The 19672-nt window shown below is 34.3% G+C and overlaps 1 protein-coding gene across 10 annotated transcripts in view, besides 1 other annotated feature; it reads left to right on the top strand.

Moving 5' to 3' along the window:
- The window catches only part of COL25A1 (collagen type XXV alpha 1 chain), a 493934-nt gene that overhangs the window by 168843 nt on the left and 305419 nt on the right, over positions 1 to 19672 (top strand). The window lies entirely within an intron of this gene.
- Positions 9036 to 9205: an enhancer, noted in NCBI's record as "experimental_71618 CRE fragment used in MPRA reporter constructs". NCBI's record gives its function as "activates a minimal promoter by MPRAs in K562 erythroleukemia cells, with activity observed for both the introgressed and non-introgressed 4:110045852 variant alleles {active_cell/tissue: K562}" and the evidence as "EXISTENCE:reporter gene assay evidence [ECO:0000049][PMID:34662402]".

The raw sequence follows: 19672 nt of genomic DNA, 5'->3' as shown, positions 1-19672 counted from the left end.
AATGTTTAATAGAGTGTTTCTATATGTTCATAAATGTCAAAGAAAAAGGAGACTTAATAGACTTAAGCAATTATCCATTCTTTTACTTTAAAATATTTTTTGAGTGCCTACTTTGTGCCAGTCACCATTCTGCACACAGAGTGTTGCAGTAATAATTTAAGTTCTTAAATTCCTGCTGCTATATATCTTACATTCTACTGCTAATACATATTAACATAATAACTATTGATATTTACAAGAATATTTTGATAAGGAGAGAAGACTTTCCTAACAAACACTGAGCAAATTTGGCCCTTTCTTGGTGAACAACTGAATCTCTGCTTGTTGTTTTCTTAATTTGTACTGTGGATATTTTTTTCCTTCAATGTCTTAATGGGCAGGTACTTATTAGGTAGAGTTTTGGGGAAAATAACCCAACAATGACCCTATAGGTCATAGTGATAAATATTAGACAATATCAGATAATAGTAAAAAATAATATTACAATAAGGTCTAGTGTTTTCATAAAATGTTATTTCTATTACTTGGGTCATAGCAGTAAACCTTACTTTAATATCATAACTACAAAATATATTCTTTCTTCAATACTTAAACTAAAATTGTTAAATATGTTTCCTTATAGATATTTCATTCTAAATGTTATGTCAAGTAAGAAAATAATTATATTCTATCTGAAAACCAGTGTACAATAGACCTAGTAACAGATCCATAACTGCAGTCTAACGTAGTAGATGGTGTTCTAATTAATATTATAAATGAATTCTATATTGAAACTTTTTCTCTAAACAAGAATGAATATAGTTATTTTCAGGAGGAAAAAGTCAGGTCCACAAATCAAATATTTCATTATGAAAAATTTAAATGAATACATAAGTCTAATACTCCTATTTTTGTGCCACATTATATCACTGTGAATTAATCCTCACAGTTCTAATACTGCCATTCAGTATTTGCAAGTAGAAAAATCAAAGCAGAACATATTTCCACAAAGTAATATGGAAATCTAGAAGGTTTACAGAATTGTATTATTAGAAGTGTCTTTGAAAATTATTCTTTCCAATCTTTTATCTCCTGAAAATAAAAAATCTATGTCATTACTTACTACTTTCTTACCTTCAGAAAAGGATAATGCATAACCCAGAAAACACATTCCAATATGTCAAAGCTCATATTATAATTTAATTTGTTTTCTTAATAGCTAATCAAAATTTCTCCTTTTACTTAAATTGATTCTATGATTATTTAATGTATTTTTTTGGATAGAATAGAATCCATTTAAAATGTGGTTTACAGAATCAAATTACGAAATAGCCTTTTGAAATTTTTATTTAAAATTCTCTTATATATTGTCAGGATTAAAGTGAATAAAAGCAAATCTGAGATAAGGCCCTTATTTTATATCTCTCAATAATAGCTGATCTGTTAGTATTGGGTTCAAGGAAAGTAAGTTCTAGAAAGCGTATGGGAAGCAGCCTCTTTGAAAACTTTTCTTAAGAATCTGGGAGTGAAATTATCATAATAAACAAAAGAAAGTAAAAACAAACCATGTAAATTTATGTGTGTGTATGCATGTGTGTGTGTATTATATATATTGTAAAGATCTAGACTGTAGACTATTTAAAGTCTAATGGCTTTTCCTCCATGAGGCTTTGTTGGGTAGGCACCAAGCATTCCCTCTCTCTGTGACACTCTTACTGATGCATTTGTGACTATCTCTGCCCAATTCTTTTTGCTTTTTCAAACCTAATATTTTTCATTTTAAAACCTCATTGGCACTTCTCAATACCATGACTCTCCAAGTCTAGTTAGGATGAAGTTACTGAGGGGCCCTTATCTCTAGCAAAGAATGGTGCTCCTTTCTGTTTGAGTCCCTGGTAGTATGAAGAGAGAGCTGAGGATCACTCTGCCTCCCGACATCCATTAGATGGTATCAGTGGTGAGTGTGCTGACATCGTCCAGCAACAGCGCATGCTTATCCTTCTTGGCACTGCGGGGTTTCTCACAATGCACTGCCACTGTTCAGGGGCACCATCTGGGTTCCTGGTGAATGGGGAGGTGAGGAGGACTTGCGCCTATGATGGCCCAGCCTCAGCATGTGCTGCCCTGCCTTTTTGTGAACGTCACACTCCTGCTCTCCTGAATATAGGTTGCATCTGGATAATGAGATATGAGAGGGAAGATTTTACTGCTCTGGTTGGTTGGTGATATCTTGATCACACAGCTTTCATCTCCCTGTAACCTGATCATGAACTCCCCCTCACCGTATTTTCCTTGTATATTCCCACTGAATAGCTATGAAATATGTGGTGTTAAATAACAAAATACATATCCTACCAAAGATGATCTGATTGAGTAAGGCAGTGAGTACAGCAGTATGTTTAAAACAATATTCAGAATTATCTTGCGTTCCATCATCCGTTACATTTCTGCCACATCAGTATAGAGGGCAATACTGTCCAATGGAAATACAATGCGAACCACATATGTAATTTTAAATTCTCTAATAGTCACACTTTTAAAAGTAAAAAGAAATCCGTAAAATTAAATTTAATAGTACTTTAAAAGTAAATTAAATACATTAAATTTAATAGTACTTTTATTAAGCCAATGTTTCCAAAATATTATCTTTTCAATAAGCAACCAACAAAAACATTACTGATGAGATTTTAAAATTATTTTTACCTTCTCTTTAGAGTTCTTTGTCATATAAGGCTAATCATGATTGTCTAACCATATCTTATTGTGAAATTATTTGAAATTAGCCAAAAGAGTGTTTGAAATATTGTTTCATTTATCGTTATGCTGAACCTTGAGATATTAAGTAATGATGGTATAAAACTATCATGATTAGCAAGATATTTAAAATTATTTTTCATTTCTTCTTTCTATCATTCCTTTAAATTTTCTGTTTTGGTATATGAATTATAAACAAATGGTTTAGTAATATGCAATATAAATAAATATGTATTTTTAATGCAGGTTCGAAAATGAAAGGGTTACATGATCAAAAGAGTTTAATGACCAGTGGCATGTAGGATAAAGTACAAATATTTCAGATTAGTTTTTTAGGTCCCTCTTTCTTGCCAGATATTGACCCATTGAAACTACCCATGCTTTTGCTCATGGTTCCTCTAAATCAAGACCATCAACTAAAAGCCAGATTTTTTTCTCTTTACTTGTTTGCTTGGTCCCAACATACTCATTTGCTGCTCATTTCTATGATTTTGTTCAAGCTTATTTTCTAGTTTGCTTCACTCCTTCCCCTTTTTACTGATAAAAATATTCATCTTTGATGATTCAGAACGATTTCTATCTCCTGGAAATCATCCTTGATCGCTCCATTCTATATTCCTATCTTTCTAGCTGAATTCTTACGTTATTTTTTTTCAGTGCCATTCTTTGGGACATCTATTTATGTGCTACCTTCTATTACTATTTATAATTCTTTAATGTGTATACATTCACAACTAAATTTTGAGTATTTTGAAAGTAGAGGCTGTATATCTTTTGTGTGAACATTTACTGTCTGTTATAATGTAGAGCACTATATAATATTATGCAAATAAACACTAGTGGAAGCAGAAATTTAAACTCTTCTGTTGATTTGACTTTAATCATCCTCATCAGTATGGCCTATTTTAGTCTCCACAGTCTAGAGGGATTTTATTAATTAACATATATATATGTATGTATGTATATTCTGTGGAAAGATGGATTTAATAAATTACTAATTGCTTTGTTAAGCCAAGGAATTTTCATCTGTTATCTCACCTCAAAAATCCACAATTCTTTTATTCTTTTTTTTTTTTTTTTAATTATACTTTAAGTTTTAGGGTACATGTGCACATTGTGCAGGTTAGTCACATATGTATACATGTGCCATGCTGGTGCGCTGCACCCACTAACTCGTCATCTAGCATTAGGTATATCTCCCAATTCTTTTAATCTTAAACAACTTTGCAAGAGAGAGAGACAACTTAGAGACTTTCCTTCAAGGGCTTATTAAACTTGGCCAAATCTATACAATCTATAACTTCTTAGTTTACTATGACAGTCCAGCAGGAATGAAAATATGGTATGGGTGCCACATTGGTTGCCAGAAAGATAACATTTAACATCTGTCGAAGGAATAGGACAAATTTTACAAATCAAAGACTAGCCTGGCCCAGGTTTCAGTTTTATCACACCATATAGTCATCACTTAATTCATATTTTGCCTATGTTATTCATAAATTGTCCACTCTAAACATTTTTGCGGTATCTCTTTCGAGTATTTTTATTACTTTTGAAGAAAATTATATTACTTTATAATATATGTTAGATTTGAGCACAATGATTGGGATTCAAGTGAAAAACTACAGAAAAATTATAGAAATTATTTGACAAGGGCTGGGCGCAGTGGCTCATGCCTGTAATCCCAGCACTTTGGGAGGCTCAGGTGGGCGGATCTCCTGAGGTCAGGAGTTCGAGACCAGCCTGACCAATATGGAGAAACCCCGTCTCTACTAAAAATACAAAATTAGCCGGGCATGATGGTGCAGGCCTGTAATCCCACCTACTCGGGAGGCTGAGGCAGGAGAATCGCTTGAACCTGGAAGGTGGAGGTTACGGTGAGCCAAGATCACACCATTGCACTCCAGCCTGGGCAACAAGAGTGAAACTCTGTCTCAAAAAAAAAAAAATTATTTGACAAAATAAGGTCCAACTAAGTAAAAGCATGAATTATTTCACTGATTCCCAAGCCTGGTTGTACATCAGGATCACCTGAAGAGCTTTCATAAAATGCTCACATCCAGGCTCTCCTTAGACACGTTGAATCAGACTTTCCAGCCTGCGAATCTGTGTTTTAAAATCTCTTCAGTTCAGAAATTCCTGACTTTTTCTGTTCCCAGTTTCACATATTGTTATAACACAACGTGCTTCATACCATAGCTTGAGTTCTACAAGTAATACTGGTCAGTGGTCAGACAAGCCAGAAGGAACCTTAGATACCAGCTTCTCTGATTTGCTTATCTAATGCTCTCTTATCCAAAGGAGACTTTGGTGATTAGATAGCAGAAAATTCCCTGAAGTCACCATTGCAAGGTTTCTTCCAGTATACCATGGGCCCCTGTTTTAGTCTTACATTAGTGTCAAGTGACTGTCCTACTCTGGGATACACAGAAAAGGAAGGTGTTTATTTGCAGGGCACCAAACAAGGACAGTCTGGGCAGCTCATGCTTAAGACCCGAACTCCCTGATGTCTTGCAGGTAAGAGTTTTTAAAGGCAGGAGTAAATTTCAGGAAGGAAGTTATAGACAAAGTCATAAATCAATACATGGAGGCTACATTGGTTTGACCTAAAAAGGAGGAAGAGCTCGAAGCAGGGACCCACAGGTCATAGGTGGATTGAAAGATTTTCTGATTTGTGATAGGTTTGGGAAGCAAAGCTTTGTCTAAAAATTTGAGATTGGCAGAAAAGAATGTTAGCTCTGGCTCATGAGCATCACCTCTTCCAGGCTCCTCTGGAAGAAATTTTGAACAAGGAATGGTGGCCAGAGTTTAGTCCTCAGCTTCCTCTTATCTAAGGTCTATGTGCCAGCAGATCTGTTTGGTGGGGGTTTGGGTTTCTGAAAAACAACTCAGGGACATACGCTGTTAGTTTTAGTTTCTACAAAGGAACCAAACATCTCCTGACTCTAACTTCCTTGGCTATTGTTTTAGGCTACTGTTACCTTCTTGCTTATCAAGCTGCTTATTTACTTCTCAGCCCCAGCTAGGTGCTTGGAATTTCCCTTGAAGGAACTCAAGGTTTTCCTTTATTTCCATGCTCAGGAGACTGCAGGGCCCTAAAAAGAGCGTCCCTGCTCTGCCTCAATAGGAAAGAATAACTCTGTCATTTCTCATTAGTTTTGAAAATTTAGGTTCTATTTAAGTTTATTTTATGCAAGATTTAAAAATCACTTAAGCTGAATGATACATTAACTGTGAGCATTGCTGTGCCTCCTCTTTTTTCTACTCGCAAAGCAGCGTCCTTGTCTGGGGTAACTACCCGAGGTTCGTTGTCTCACGCCAAGGAAATCAGCTAACGTTTACGGCCTACTAAGTACCAACTGATTTTTAGCCCACTTAGCCCCTCGAGTTTGGTTTTTCTTCTTTTTTTTCTCCTTTACTAACGTGGAATCTAAAGCTCAGAAAGTAACTTGTTTGGCCAGGCGCGGTGGCTCACACTTGTAATCCTAGCACTTTGGGAAGCTAAGGTGGGAAGATTGCTTGATCCCAGGAGTTTGAGACCAGCCTGGGCAACATAGAGAGACCCTGTATCTATTTAAAAATAAAAATAAATAAATAAAAGAAAGTAACTTGTCTGAGGACACCCAACTAATAACCACTAGAGCTGTGTTTATGTGCTTCACATATATGAATCAAAAATCAATGATTTTTCTACTTTGGCATACTGTTGCATACTGTTGCAACTAGAATTTACTTATACATTGATAATTAATCTCTTCCTTGAGTATTGGAAAGAATAATGGACCAAATTATGACCAAGCAGTGCTGAAGTTCTATTACGCCTTATAGATGTTTAATTAAAGTAGCACACACTAAGGAATGAAGGCATGGTCCTCATACTCAAATGTATCAAAACACTTTGGAATATTTTATTGCCAAGAAATAATATACTGTGCCAGTGTAATATTCTATCAGATTATGAATAATTCTTTAAGCTTTTTAAAACTAACATCCTTGAGCCATGTGATTATGAGTAATTCTTATTCACTCTTCTGAAGCTTTTATCTCTTTCTCCATTTCTGTTATTGTTCCCATCTGTTATTTCACTGAATGAAAAACATAAGTTAGGAAAATAAGAATGTAAAAGGGAAGTGAAGAAGTAAAGAGAGACGTTTCTTTTTTTTTTTAATTTTATTATTATACTTTAAGTTTTAGGGTACATGTGCACAATGTGCCGGTTAGTTACATATGTATACATGTGCCATGCTGGTGTGCTGCACCCATTAACTCGTAGGTCTTCAAAATGAAAAGCTATCAGGTTATCTAATATAAAACATAAAGTTGGGGAAAACATAAGTTGGGAAAATAAGAATGTAAAAGGGAAGTGAAGAAGTGAAGAGAGAAGTTTCTCGAGAGGTGGTATCTCAAAGCTTTTCAAAATGAAAATTATCAGGTTATCTAATATTTGGAATAAATACAATAGACATTGTGTAAGCTTGTAGTATCTGTTATAATCTGGCTTCTTTTGTCCTTAAAATAAGAAGAGCTGTTATAACTTTAGAACATTATTTAAATGTGCAATGTTTTAAATTTATATTATATCCTAATATCACTGTGTTTTGTTTTTACTGTCAGTATGTGACATGGTGATATGGTAATGAAATTTTCCCAAGTTCTTGATCTCAAGTCAAAGCAGACCAGGTTTGGAAGCTTTGTTCTACCTTCTTGTTTTCAGAGTTGGATTTAGATTTTATTCACATTGTTTGCAAATACATTCTTATTCCTTGAAAGTCTCGATTTAAAAGAAGTTATATACAAAATAAAGTAAGTTAATAATCTCTGATGACTACGTTTGTCTTTTTAGAAAAAAATGTCAACATTTATCAAGAAAGTATGTTTTTCATTTGCATGCTTTACTTTTCTTTTTTACCGTGAGGATTAGAAAAACATTGGGGATTTAAAAAAAACCTCTTTCCATTTCAAGTAGCAAAATAATAAAATTTTCTTACATACATGTTTTCTTCCTACAAAAAATATTACGGCACAGCAAAGCACATAGGAAATAATTACAGAACTTGGTGAAGGAGTAAAAAGCTTTGTGGCTTAGTAATATGAATTGGAGTTATTATGTATATCTCTTCCCACCTTTTAGTTTCCTTCAGAACAACAAAGGTAACGGTTAGTAGATAGTATTTTTTAAGGTCCCCAAATATTGCTTATTTAATAATCATTCAAGAAAAATGGCAATGTTTGTGTTTACTTGATGTTGAAATCATGTCACTCTTTCTTTCTGTGTTTGTATCTGATCAGCTCCCTCGGGCTTCCAGTGTGGGGCAACTGTTACCTCTTTCCTACAGGAGTTGTGCCAGTATCCAGTTTGTTCTTCAGTGGCAATAGGCCATAGATTCCATGTGTTGAAAATTGATCACCATTACAACAATAATAATGATGTTAAAATAACTGTTCCATCAACTGCTAGTTCTTCTCAGCCAGTGACCACGGGCACAGAAACCTTAGGAATAATTTTGTAGAGAAATGAAGCGAAGAAATGTTGACAGTTTGTATTCTAGAAATACTTGGTTTAAGAAGATGTATTAAAGTTGCCTGTTTTAGTCTCACTTTTTGAAGATTCATTCAGAGCTGGTTCAGTGTGAGCATGAAAATATACTCATTGAAAGAAATCGGGTGTTCAGCACCCTGCCAGCTGTATTTAGCACACAGTTCCTGTAATTTAGAAGTGTTACTTCCTGAGAAGGCTATTTGCCCTGTCACTAGGGATAAATTTGCATATTGAAGGAACTACCTAGATTGCAGCAACTGCCTTCCAAAAAGTCCTTGTCATCATTTGTGAGGTAATACCATCAGGATTAGTTCCTTAAGGGATAGCCATCTACTACCTGCCTTCTCTCCACATACACATTGTAGTAATAGATAGAGTTTAACTTTATACATCCCTTTGATAACTCAGTTTCCTGTCTGTAGACATAGATTCTATCAGAAAATAGAGTCTTTTTAGGTGGAATAAAATCTTAAGACACTTCTGCTTACCTTTGTTGTTGTTATTCTAGGCGAAAAGTGTGGGGGGGTTTTGCTTTGTTTTCTGTTTTTAAATTCTGTAATATTAAGTTACCATGACAAATAGATTATTTCAAGCTTTCAGGACATTTGGTCAGTATCAAACACAGTTAAATATATTCATTGACAAATTCCTAGTTTAAGTTAAGGGGGAGATAATATATACATATATTTTTATATCTTGCTATATGTTTTTCTACCCAAAGAAGAAAGGTAAATGTGTGATTTTTTTAAGAATGAATTAGTAGAACTGTATTATTTGGCTATATAATTCTTTGTTTTGCTCATTTGATTTTGGGTAGAAATCTTTCTAGGAATTAGGACAATTTAAGGTGAGAGATGGAGCATTTTGCATTTATTGTTGGACATCTGCTGTAGAGGGAAAACTTAATTATTTAATTAAGTTTAATTAAATACACACATTTATTTTAAAGGCATGATAACCATTCTCTACTAGCAATGAAAGATTAGAAGCTGGAAAAAAAATTTTAATTCTTCAGTCTTTGTGAGCTGATGTTTTTTATGTGACATTCTTTTGTAGTTAGACTAGAAAAATAAAATTAAAATTTTGTGTATTAGTAAGGAGAGGTTGTAGCCAGAATGGAAAATTTCACAAAATCATATATTTTAAACTTTTATTTTAGAAGGTGATTATAGCTAATAATGTCTAGCCTTCTCTGAGTAATTTGCCCACATAATTGCATAGGATAACTTAAAATTACATTTTAGGACGTTAATTAAAACCTTGAATTTAAGTCAGAATAAAATGCTGAAAAATACATGGGAGAGGAAAGCTGAATAACCATCTTACTGCATAAAATTAAAGAAATATAAGGAGCAGGGATTGTCAAAAATACCATTTGCATGAAGTAAAATGCTGATTTTACAAATTTTAAAGTCAATGTCAGTGCCTGAAACAGAATAGTAAAATAATAGAAAGTAGAGTTTTTCCTTATGTATTTCTAGTTTTACATTTTGTGAAATATTTTTTTGTGAATGAAACATACTCTGAACTTTTAATGTAAAGTCATTAGTGAAAAGTTTGGGACTGGGCAAAATAGGTTGAAGTAGCATGTAGATTTTATGTATCTGTTTCTCAACTTGTATAAACTTACCTTGTTTGTTTCCATTTGTGTGTCAGAGGCACACAAATCAGGATCAGGGAGATACAGGGGTTTCAAGATGAAGGAGAAATCCTAAAGAGGGAGGAATAATCCGTGATGGCTGTAGAACCGAGGCCTATGTCCAACAGCAACATCTGACCTCATTGAACACCTTAGAATAATTGCATATATATCATGATTCTTTATGTTAATGTGGAAATAATTTCATTTTTCAATTCCAGCATTATCAATAGAATATTATTTCTTTGTAATTGTGAAATGCTGTACTTCTTAATCTTTGGTTCAAATATAAGCATATTACTCCATACATATTTTGTTAGGGAGAAGTTCAGTTTACTTTATGGTTTGTATTTCCATGTAGTTATTAATTTACCTAAACTCTATTTTTGCCAGAACTTAATCATATCAACTTATTTATTTATTTATCCCTTTAGCTCACATTATTAATATGGGCTAGGCTTACTATAGATCAGATTGTGAAAATAATTAAAATAAGGTTTCATTTAGGAGGACATATTTAATAGAATGATATGATTTTGTTTCAGTAAGCAAAAGTTTATAGATTATATTTAAAGGAAAAACAACCTGTTTTTTTTTTAGGCAGTCACTCTAGTATCACTGGCATTGGATCCTTATTTTTATGGCTGCTGTTTGTTCATTTATTGGGGAGGGAAGACATCCTTATTAAAGTTCTTGTTGTCAGAGAAAATTTGATAAATACCCCACAACTCAGCTATTTATGTGAATATTCTGCCCTACACTTGAAAGGTATCAAATAGATATCTTTGGGAAGAAATTTCAAATCCCTTAAATAGTGGGATTAATTTGCAGGATATTTGATTCTCCTTGCATAGCTTTTGTGGGTCCGCAATAGTTACATTTTAGCTTCTTTTATTAAATAAGCAAACTGCAGATAACTAGCTATGTCATCTGGCATGATTAGTGCTGAACAGCACAGTCCCCCACAAGTCTTGATTGTCTTTATACTTGTCTGCTCTACGGTCATTCCTTGGCATTGGCTTATTTCTGAGGACTGTCAAAGTGTGTGAATAACTCAATAAGTATATTTCTCTATGTTCATGGTTCCATATTTTCCTGGAAAGTTATTGCTTAGTAGATTTACTGTCAAATATACTTTTGGTTATATCCAAAAACCATGCTTACATGTGTCTTTCTGTCCTTGATAACATTCACAGCTCCAAATGTCCTTCCATTAGAATTATGACTTGTTTCCCCTAGAAAGTTCATTGGGAATTCATCACAGTCCCATAATCAAAGTTGCTATAAGGTATAACTTACATGTTACAACATATAAGTAATGTCTTCCTTTCCTAATTCCTATAGCACTTTCTTTGTGGGCATCTTGGGCATAACTCACATTCTATCTACTTTTGCTGCCAAATTTATGACAGACTTCCCTTCTTCTCCCCTCGATTCCCCTCACTTCCTTCCTTCTAATAAACTTAAATTTTTAGAGTAGTTTTAGGTTTATAGCAAAACTGAGTGGAAAGCGCAGAGAATTCCCATGTACCTGCCCACCCTTCACCTTCCTGTGCTATCAACATCCCATGCCATAGTGGTACCTTCATTACAATCAATAAGCTGACTCTGACACATCATTATCACCCGGAGTCCATAGTTTACATTAGGGTTCCCTCTTGGCACTGGACATTCTGTGGGTTTGAGCAAATGTATAATGTCAGGTAGCCAACACTGTAGTATCCTACAGAACAGTTTCACCATCCTAAAATCCTCTGTGCTCAGACTGTTCATCCCTCCCTCTCCTCTAACCCTTGGCAGCTACTAATCTTTTTGCTGTCTCCATAGTTTTGCCTTTTTCAGAATATCATATAGCTGGAATCATATAATATGTCGCCTTTCCAGGTTGGTTTCATTCACTTATTAGTATGCATCTAAGTTTCATCCATGTCTGTTCATGGCTTGATAGCTCATCTCTTTTTAGCCTGAATGATATGATATTCCATTGTCTGGATGTATCACAGTTTATCCTTTCACCTATTGAAGGACATCTTGATTATTTACAAGTTTTGGCAATTATGAATAATGCTGTTTTAAACATTTGAGTGAAGATTTTTGTGTGGATATAAGTTTTTGGTTCCTTTCGGTAAATATCAAGGAGCATTATTGCTGAATCATGTGGTAAGAGTATGTTTCATTTTGTAAGAAACTGCCAAACTTTCTTCCAAAGTGGCTGTATCATTTGGCATTCCCACAAGCAATGAATGAGAGTCCCTTCTGCTCCACATCTTTGCCATCATTTGGTGTTGTCAGGGTTTTAGATTTTGGTCATTCTAATAGGTGTATAGTAATATCTTATTGTTGTTTTAATTTACAATTCCTAATGACATATGCCACTGAAATTTTCATATGTTTAGTTGTCATCTGTTTATTTTCTTTGGTGAGCTACCTTTTTAGATCTTTTGTCCGCTTTTTAATTAGGTTGTTAGTTTTCTTATAGTTGAGTTTTAGGAGTTCTTTGTATATTTGAGATAATCACCCTTTATCAGATGCTTCTTGCAAATATTTTCTCCCAGTCTGTCTTCTCATTCTCTTTACATTGTTTTTCACAGAGTAGATTTTAATTTTAATGAGGTCCAGTTATATTTTTCATAGTTTGTCACTTTGGGGTTTTATCTAAAATGTCATCACAAAATCCAAGTTTATCTATGATTTCTCCTGTGTTATCACATAGGAGTTTTATACTTTTGTTAGTCCTTCAAATTTGTTCTTCAGTATTGAGTTAGTTATTCTGGATCTTTTGCCACTCTATATCAACCTTAGAATCAGTTTGTTGACATCCACAAAGTAACTTGCTGGGATTTTGATTGGGATTGCATTGAATCTATAGATTAAGATGGGAAAAATTGATGTCTTGATAATATTGAATATTCCTGTCCATGAATATGGAATGTCTCTCCATTTATTTGGTTCTTCTTTGATATCTTTCATCAGAGTTTTGTAGTTTTCCTCATATAGATCTTGCACATTTTTTTTAGATTTATATCTAAGTATTTTATTGTTTTGGGTGCTAATGTAAATAATAATTGTTTTTGAATTTTTTTTTTTTTCTTTTGTTGAGACAGAGTCTCACTCTGTTGCCCATGCTGGAGGACAGTGGCACAATCACAGCTCACTGTAGCTTCCACCCTCTGGCTCAATTGATCCTTCCACCTCAGCCTCTTAAGTAGCTGAGACAACAGGTGCATGCCACCACACCAAGCTAATTTTTGCATTTTTTGTAAAGATGGAGTTTTGCCGTGTTTCCCAGGCTGGTCTCAAACTCCTGGGCTCAAGCAATCCACTAGCCTTGGCCTCCCAAAATGCTGGGATTACAGGTATGAGCCACCACACCTGGCTTGGTAATGTGTTTTCAATTTCAAATTCTTCTTACTTATTGTTGGAATATAAAAAAGCAATTGACTTTTGCATATTAACCTTTTATCCTGAAATCTTGTTATAATTGCTTATTAAATCTGAGAGAGTTGTTTTTTGTTTATTTTTCCAATTTTCTCCATAGGCAATCATATCATCTACAAAAAAAGAGGCAGTTTTATTTTTTCCTTCCCAACCTGTATACCTTTTAATTTCCTCTTCTTGTCTTATTACATTAGCTAGACTTCCAATACAATGTTGAAAAGCAGTGGTGAGAAGAGACATCTTGCCTTGTTCCTGATCTAAACTGGAAAGCTTTGAGTTTCTCACTCTTAAGTATGATGTTTGCTGTAGGTTTTTGTCAATGTTCTTTATCCGGTAGAGGCTCTTCTGTATTAATTTGCTGAGAGTTTTTATCATTAATGGGTGTTGCATTTTGTCACATGGTTTTTCTGAATCTATAGATGCAGACCATGTGATTTTTCTTTTTTAGCCTTGTGCTGTGATGGATTGCCTTAATGAATTTTTAAATATGGAGCCAGCCTTGCATACTGGGGATAACTTCTAGTTGGTTTTGGTGTATCATTATTTTTATACATTGTTGAATTTTATTTGCTAGTATTTTGTTGAAGATTTTTGCATCTGTGTTTATGAGAGATATTGATTGATAGGCTTTCTTTTCTTCTGATGACTTTAACTGGTTTTGGTGTTAGGATAATGCTGGCCCTGTAGAATAAGTTAGGAAGTACTTCCTCTGTTTCTATCTTCTTGTAGAGCTTTTTAGAGAATTGATATACTTTCTCTTTTTAAATGTTTGGTAGAATTCACTCAAGCTATCTTGGTTTGGTGCTGTTTTGGAAGAGTGTTAATTATTCATTCATTAATAGGCGTACTCAGATCTGTGTAAGTGAGTTTGGGCAGTTTGTGTGTTTCAAGGAGTTGATTTATTTAATCTATGGGCATAGAGCTGTTCATAGTATTCTTTTGTTATCCTTGTAATGTCCATGGGATCTGTAGTGATATTCCTACTCTCATATCCTTTATCAGCAATTTGTGTGTTCTCTAGAGGCTTATCAATTTTATTGATTTTTTCCAAAGAACCAGTTTTGAGTTTTGCCGATTTTCTCTATTAATTTCTTATTTCTTTACTTTCTGCTCTTTTATTATTTCTTTTATTCTGCTTATTCTGGATTTAATTTGTTCTTTTTTAGTTTCCTAATGTGGAAGCTTAGATTATTAATTTTAGATATTTCTTCTTTTCTAATACGTGCATCCAATGCTATAAATTTTCCTCTAAGCACTGCTTTCACTACATTCCACAAATTTTGGTAAGGTCTATTTTTATTTTCATTTAGTTCAAAATATTTAAACAGTTCTCTTGAGAGTTCTTCTTTGACCTATGTGTTATTTAGAAGTATATTGTTTAATCTCTAAGTATTTTGGGATGTTTTAGCTGTTTTTGATTTCCAGTTTCATTCCATTGTTATCTGCCAGCAAACATTTTATACTTTCTATTCTTTTAAGTTTGTTAAGGCATGTTTTAGTCCAAAAATGTGGGGTATCTTGGTGAATGTTTCATGTGAAATTGAGAAGAATGTGTAGTCTGCTGTTGGTTGATGAAGTAGTCCATATATGTCACTTATACCCCCAGTTGATTGATGGGTCTGTTGAGTTCATCGATTTTCTGTGTGGTGGATCTGTCCATTTCTGACAGAGGGGTGTAAGTGTCCAACTGTAATAATGGATTAATATATTTCTTCTTGCAATTCTATCAGTTTTTGGCTTACATAATTTGATGCCCTTTTGTTGGGCACATACACATTAAGACTTGTTTCGTCTTCTTGAAATGTTAACCCCTTTATTATTATTATGTAAAACTCTATTCCTGATAACTTTTCTTTCTCTGAAGACTGCTCTGTCTAAGATTAATATAGTTACTCCAGCTTTCTTTTGATTAGTGTTCCCGTGGTACATCTTTCTCAAAACCTTTATTTTTACTTTATTTGCTTATATTTTTAATTGACAAGTAATAATTATATATATTTATGAAGTACAACGTGATGTAGTGTTACATGTATATGTTGTAGAAAGAGTAAATCAGGGTAATTAACATACCCATCACCTCACGTGTGTTATCTTTTTTTGTGGTGCGAATGTTTAAAATGCATTATTTTAACAATTTTGAAATATACAATATATTATTATTAACTGGGGTCACTATGCAGTGCAATAGATCACTAAAACTCATTCAAGTCTAACTGAAACATTGTACCCTTTGATCAACATCTCCCCTTTCTCTATTAATACTTTTAGTCTATATGTCTTTATATTTTAATTGGATTTCTTGGAGACAAAGTGTATCAATTATTGTTTTTTATTTACTCTGATAATTTCTGTATTTTAATTGCTGTATTTCGACCACTGATGTTTAAAGTGATTATACCATATTTGGTACTGTTTTTTGTTTGTTGTCCTTGTTCTTTTGTTTCTATTTTATATTCTACATTTTTTTCTGCCTTTTTGGTTTTAATTGAGCATTTTATATCATTCCATTTTCTTCCTTTTTTAGCACATCAGTTATACTTCTTTTTTATTTTTATCTTTTTAAAAACACTGGTTTTAAGTAGTTGCTCCAGAGTTTGCAATACACTTTACAAGTAATCTGAGTCCACTTTCTAAATACACTACACCACTTCACAGATAGTGCAAATAACTTATAATATCAAAATATTTCTAATATTCCTAATGTCTTTCTTCCATCTCTTGTATCATTGCTGTCATTTCTCTTATGCATAAGTATATATAAGCATATATATAATACACATGAGCACACATAACTGAATACATTGTTGCTATTATTTTGAATAAAGTAGCATTTGTTAGACCAACTAAGAATAAGGGAAATAACAGTTTCCATTTTACTTTCACTTAGTCATTCCCTGATGCACTTTGGTTGTGGAGATTTGAGTTTCTGACCTAATATTTTTTCTCCTGTCTGAAGAACTTCTAATATTTATTGCAAGGTGGTTCCACTGGCAGCAAATTCTCTCAATTTTTGTTTGAGAAAGTTTTGATTCTTCTTTATTTATGAAGAATAATTTCACAGAGTACAGAATCTATTTTGATGGTCCTTTTTCCCTCAACACTTTAAATATTTCCCTCTACTTTCTTCTCGTTTACATGGGTTCTGAGAAGAAATTGGACGTAATTCTTATTCTATTTAGATTGTTCCTCAATAGATAAGGTGTTTTTCTCCCCCTCTGGTCTCTTTCAAGATTTTTGTTTATATTTGATTTCTGAAGTTTGAATGTGATATGTATACCTAGGTGTAGTGTGGGGGCATTTATCCTGCTTGGTATTCATGTGTGGTTTGGTGTCTGACATTTATTTTGGAAAATTCTCAGTCATCATTGTTACAAATATTACTTCTGTTTTTTTTTCTCTTTCTTCTCCTTCTGATATTCCTATTACGCATGTTACACTTCCGTAGTTGTCTCGCAGTTCTTAAATATTCTGTTTTATTTTCCTTTTCTGTCATTTTTCTCTTTAGTTTTCAGTTTTGAAAGTTTCCATTGTCACATTCTCAAGTTCAGAGATTCTTCTCCTCAGCCATGTCCTGTCTGCTACTGAGTCCATCAAGGCATTCTTCATTTGTGTTACAGTGTTTTAAATCCTTAGCACTCCTTTTTTAATGCTTTTTTATAATTTCTGTCTCTTTGCTTACATTAATCATCTCTCCTTGCATATTATATACTTTTACCTTTAAAGCCCTTAGCATATTAATTACAGTTTAAAAAATCCTGGTTTGATAATTCCAACATTCTTATCATATCTGACTCTGGTTCTGATGCTTGTTCAGTCTCTGACACCATATGTTTTGCTTTTTAGTATGCCTTGTAATCACTTTTGAGAGGTGGGCATGATAAACTGGGTAAAAGGAACTGTGGTAAATAGGCCTTTAGTAATGTGGTAAGGTGTGGGGAGAGGAGGAGAGTTCTACAATTCTATGATTAGGTCTCAGTTTTTGGTAAGCTGTGCCCTTGAGCTGTGAACCTCACCAGTGCTTCTTATTTCCCCTTTCCCTTAAGTAGGATAACATGGCTAGAGGAAGATTTTCCTAATCTTCAGGTTGATCAGGCTCTGATAAAATCGCAACAGGCTATGCTCTGTGAAAATAGATTCTCCTGATGGAGGCCTTGTTGACAAGAATAAAATGCTGTTGTTATTTCAAAATGGCTTATTTCCCCTCCTTCATCTGAAAGCATGACATTCACTGTCTTTTTCTCCAGTATTCACTGCGAGCCCCTGGCAGAGCTCCTAGAGATAAAACTCACAAAAGTGTGGGGGCCCCATTACTGTGTCCCTCTGGAGTTTTTGATTCTCATTGCTGTCCCTACTGAATCTCCAGCAATTCATCAACTACACTTCGGGTTTTCCTATCCTGGCACTGGTTTCTGCTGAGTTCCAGTTAAGTTTTGATTCTCTGTATCTGCCTGTCTGTCTCCCCAGTTTTTGGAGCCGTGATTTGTCCTGTTCCCTCACTTCTCTGATAGATTTTAGAAGATCAGCATCTTATCTGTTATGTATGTAACCTAGGGGTCACCTCTAGGATACATGGTAGGTGCAGGGGGTGTTTCATGTGCAGTATTGAGATGTCATCTTGGCAGCAGCTTCTCTCCATCTCGTGCTCCTTTTATATATCTCAGTGCTGCTTGGTCTCCTTTTCACATTGATAGTTTGGGAACTAGTATTTGGGAACTATTGCTTTCTTGATGCATCTGTCTGTACACTGGCCTCTGGAGAAGGGGGTATTAGAAAAGTTACACTTCTTTTTTATTGCCTAATATTTTAGTCTTCTCCTGAAGGTACATCCTTAACATCTCCACATGACTTCCTGTGGTTTTAATCATCTTTGCCCAAGGAATGGGGATGATTGGTGGATGTTACAACATAGAAGAAGAAAGATACAAAATTGATGTTGTGACCATCCCCTTAGTTCAAATGAAAGGAGCTAAAAATATTTAAGCCCTACCCTTTCTTTGTGTAGCTTTGTTCCCTGACTTAATGTCGGCCCTTCAACTTTGGACAGAGCTCTTCAAAAACCTACATTTTGACTCTTTACCTGCTCCCACCAAATTTTACCCTATAGGATTTGGGATTCATCTTCCTTTCAACGCAAGAAAGTCTTTAAGATGCATTAATCCTATAGCAGTTCTCACTGCCTGTAGTGTCACCTAAAATAATATCTGGAAGTGGAGAAGAGAAAAATAAAGGTATTTGTTTTCTTTGTGTTTAGGCAAATCCCCTAAGTATCAAGTGTGGGGTTATTTTTTTCAGCTGCTGTTTATGTTCATTATAACTACTATTACAAGAATGTTATACCTTGTTTTGACTCTTATTCAATATGTGAATTTGATTTTGGGCCAAAAACATTTTAATGTATTTTGTTTCTGTTTTACAAGTATTTCACTTGATGCCTATGTTCATAAATTTTTAATAACATCCTGCTTCCTACTGTTCTAGCAATTAGTGGTGTAGTCATCTAATTTGACTGTTGTTTGATTTTGCTTGAACAAATACTTTATTGAAGCTGTTCTTTACTATGCTGGTAATTTTCTTATGCCTTAAATAGATAGCCACTCCTTCTTTTGGAAGACCAAAAGTTGGGTGGTCCTGATTATGTAGTACTACCACAATTTAAGTGCAACAGTAATTTTGGCATCCACATTGCCATTTTTAGTTGCTGCCAGTATTGCACATGCCTTTCATAAAGGAAAGACCCCATTCTCTAGGGTTGGCAACATCTTACTCTAGTACCTGCCAAAAATGAAATTCCCGTATGTCACGTTGATATTCTTGGTAAATGTGTTGCATCCTATGCTCCAGCCTTCCTGAAGTATTTGTAATTCCCAGGATGCACAGGGCTTTCTTACGTCTTCATGACTTTCACATGCAGCTCCCTGGTCCTACATGGCACATTCCACCTCTCAACTCCATTCTACATCACTTTTTGCACCTGGATGACTCCTGATGTTTCAAAGCTCAGCTCTGATGTCAGATCCTTTGAGAAGGCTCTTTTTGATTCTGTCATCTCCCTCAAGTCTGGATTGAATGTCCACCTACATTCATACTTACTCATAGTCATCTGTCTTTGCAAGTATACAGTTGTGTAAACCCCTGTCCTAAATTGTAATCCTGTTGATCTCAGGAACTATGCCAATATTGAACTATGTCGATATTGCCAGCACATAATTAAAGGTTAATTATCATTTAATGAACTGATGGAATATTACTTGTAAATAATTAATTGAGTGTTCATTCTAGATTTTCTGTTGTTCTTGGATGATGTATGCAGAGTTTATCCTTAT

This window comes from Homo sapiens, chromosome 4 (assembly GCF_000001405.40).
Source record: "Homo sapiens chromosome 4, GRCh38.p14 Primary Assembly".
NCBI lineage: Eukaryota > Metazoa > Chordata > Mammalia > Primates > Hominidae > Homo > Homo sapiens.
The sequence above is the reverse complement of the archived record's forward strand: the minus strand, read 5'-3'. Positions and strand labels throughout refer to the sequence as shown.